The sequence below is a fragment of the Homo sapiens genome, chromosome 9 (assembly GCF_000001405.40).
Source record: "Homo sapiens chromosome 9, GRCh38.p14 Primary Assembly".
In the NCBI taxonomy this organism is placed as follows: Eukaryota; Metazoa; Chordata; class Mammalia; order Primates; family Hominidae; genus Homo; species Homo sapiens.
In genome coordinates, this window is record NC_000009.12 from 86598338 (window position 1) to 86602009 (window position 3672).

The following is a 3672-nucleotide window of genomic DNA, read 5'->3' on the forward strand; positions in this document are numbered from 1 at the left end:
TTGTATTAGCCACAAATATCTACACAACTGAAACAAAGCAAAACAAAACAACAGAAAGAACTCACTTTTTTTTTTTAAGCCAAAGCTGCAAATGGCTCTGTGTCGATGGAAAGCTGTTTTTATTTGGCAACAAGACCTGGAAGGCTGGGCTTGAATTCATTCCCCTCCCGGGAGGCTACCCCAGAGCCCTACTCCACACCCACAGAGGACTCTGTGGTTACTTTTCATAAGCTGCCATAATTTTCAAAGCCCCAAAGGGCTCATAATCAGATTTGGGAAAGCTGCTCTATTTGTAAGCATCTGAGTCTGCCTTTCAGGAGGCTTTTCCCTGAAGGGAGCGATGACTGACAGCAAAGACATCCTTTTTTTCCCCCACTTGGGGATAATCCTTTGTTTAGCAGGTCTTCATTGTTGCAGAGGAAGTTTACTTAGCTTCTGATCCCACTGGACTGATTCAGCAACTACCCCAACAGCCCCACCTCACTCAACATCCCCCCTCCTACCCCACCCCACACAGAAGAGCAGACCTCTGAGAAGGGGTGGGATTCGAGAAAAAGCACATGGACACAAATCCACATTTTGAGGCAGGTCTTTTTTCTCCTCAGCCTTTTGGATTTTGTCCTTCCACCTGCAAACCCAGCCTTACACAAGTGGGAACTGTTTTCAGCTGGGTTACAGCAAAAGGAATCTTTTGCAAGGATAATGCAGACAGGAGAGGGTTCCAGCTTCACTCTGTGTTCTTACCACCACGTCTCTGCCTCGAGAAAAGCCCAAATAGCAAACATACAGATTCTAAATCGTACTGTTTTTTAAAATATTAATCGAGTGAGTCTTCTGGATCCGTTTTATTTTTACAGCCTCGCTTAGGCTTCTTTAAAAACTTTGCCACTTTGGTCAGGCTAAGACCCGCTGAATCCTATTGCTTAACTATTGTTTAAGTTCTTAATCACTTCTTCAATTTCCAATATCAGCTTTCTTGATTCTTGTTAAGTAGCATGCTTTCACAAAAGACAAAAATTCTGACCCACCGTTAATATTTTTTAAAAATAGTATTAATTGGAACTAACATTTATCGAGCACTTACTTTATGTCCCACACTCTTCTAAGAGTTTTCCACAAAGTAACTCATTTAATCTTTACAACAACCCTATCTAGTCGATAGTATTATAGGTTGCAATTTAAATATGTGAAAACCAAGATTCAGAGAGGTTAGGTAACTTACCCAGGGTCACATGGAACATTTCCTCTTTCCAATTATGTTTAGCATTTTACTCTAAATTTATTATAGTCTTTTGTTTGGCAAAAGGGGTCTTACTTCTACAAGGAGACTGTTTAGGGATAGTAGATCAATCTCTGGTCATGAACAAAAGCTTTCTCATTGTGATGTTTATTGCTAACTGGGCTGTGGGTCTTGAATCCTGGGCGTTGACCTAATTAAATATCAAGCTCCAAACAGCTGAGTTGACTGGCCAGCCAAAGGTCACATATCTGCAAAAAGGGAAAATAAACTATCTTCACCCCAACTAGAATGAGTTTCATCAACCAAATCCTATTTTTTTTTCATGGTTCAAGAATTCAAACAATATTTTTCCCTGATTAGTAGAGTTCCTCCAAACTCTTTCTTCTGCCATCATTCCAGGCAGAGGCCCCTTTTACCTGTGCAGTTCTGCTCTGTTGACTTCTAAGCTGCTACTGATGCTGTTTTTTTCACATCTGTCCCCGGTACATGCTTCTCCAATAGAGGCAAATGTCTTAATAATTGATGATTTTTGTTTGTTTGTTTTTAACACTTTTATCTAGGTTTTTTTAAAACATGTTAGAGACTCAACTCACAGATAAAATACAGAATTGACTTTTATTTCAAACGTATTTTTAGACTTGATGATTGTTTGATTTTACTTTTGAAAGAAAAAAATTTCCCCATATTCAAGTCATCCAAGTAACTTTGTACAAGCTGTGATTAAGGATTATTGCTGGATGTTAATGTGTGTTCTCTTCTTTCTTTTCTGCCTTGTATTCCAAGTGTCTCACAGTGAGGAGTATGACTCATCTATCCTTGGGGAAAGTATTTTTTTGCTTTTCGGGTCCCTAACTCACCTTGCAGATGTTGGTAAGATTCCAGGCAGCACTGAACCTCTGGGATCACATTCTCTGTGTATTGTAATCCTAGATGAGCAAACGCTTTTGCATTATGTCATTGTTCGACATATTTCTGACTACAGGAAGGAAACCAGGGAGAACTAATAATAATTTCCTGTACAGAGGATTGTGCTGGATTTGGGATATAGTCAACAGGTGTGGGAACATCTGTAGCTATCCAGCAGTGCTTTCCTGAATAGTTCTTTATAAACATAATTAGTTCCCCTTCCAGCTGATTTGACTGTATTGATAGAATAGAGCTAAATCACAGGAATAAACTACTGAAGGCAATTAATTGCTTTTGGTAAATTCTGTAATCAGGAATTTTTGTCTTGAAGAAATATTATAGAATTAGCAACTTCCAGAGCACCCAGATAATTATTTTTTTGGGGTTTGTTTCTTAAGTTTTATGGAAAAATTAGGTATAATTTTGAAAAATTTTGCTTAAGTTTAAGGAGACAAAGCTCATTCTTTTTATTCTTTATGTGTACTGAGAAGAACACAATAATTTCCAAAATAGACTGTTGTTAAATTTATAAGATGCCATAGGTTTGGACTGAGCTTCTTCACTGGACCCCTACTGACCAAACCAAACTGGAGCCATTTATGCTAAAGTTCTGTGCCACCAAGCCAAAACTAAGTTGTTTATCTGATTTTCCGAGAGATCAGGAGGGAGTGGTAATGGTCAAATCCCCTAACAGGCTAGTTTTAGCTGGCTTGATAAGGAAGCACTGTCTGCTTTAACCCTTACAAGGAAAGTAACTTCGAAATGGCCAATTTGCTTTTTGTTCCTTGTTTCTGTATTCTTCAGCCATTTTCTGTTTATAAACACTCACTGCCCACATTGCAGAGCGGAGTTCTCTGAACCTCTTCTTGATTCTGAGGGCTGCTCAATTTGAGAATCATTCTTTGCTCAAATAAACAAACCTGTTAAATGTACTTTGTCTAATTTTTTCTTTATTGCTGTCCATGAAAAGTAGAACTAATTTATAGTCAATATCTGCAGGGACCTAAACTTGAAGGTGGGAACAATCAGCAAATCAATGCCTTGTGTTTAACTTTTTTTTGGTTGGGGTAGGAGGAAAGCTAATTGCTAAGTTGTTTTAACTAAAATATGCTTCCATGAGGAATAGCAATAAAAATCACTTGAATTCTGGCAGTCAGCCTTCTTTCATACCTGTTGTCCAGAATGAGCAAATGAACCTTTTGTTTCAAAGGTTTTTTTTGTTGCATTTTTGGACCTAGAGAAGAATTATAAACATTTAAATTTGAATGCATATCCAGAGTTAGACAAGTATGTGTGTTCTGGTGTGAGCAGAGCTCTTGTCAGTCATAACGTGGCCGTGCGTTCATTCTAGCAGTTGCTGTTTTTCTTCTCTCCCAGTATACACATGCTTGCTTTTCAATTAGAACTTGAGTCATCTCCAGAAAGTTACCAAAATAAACTCACCATCAGTGAGCTCATAGGAAAATATTGCCCAGGTGTTCTAGCAAGTAGGGGTCATGATCTTTAGCCTTCTCTCCCACTTACCC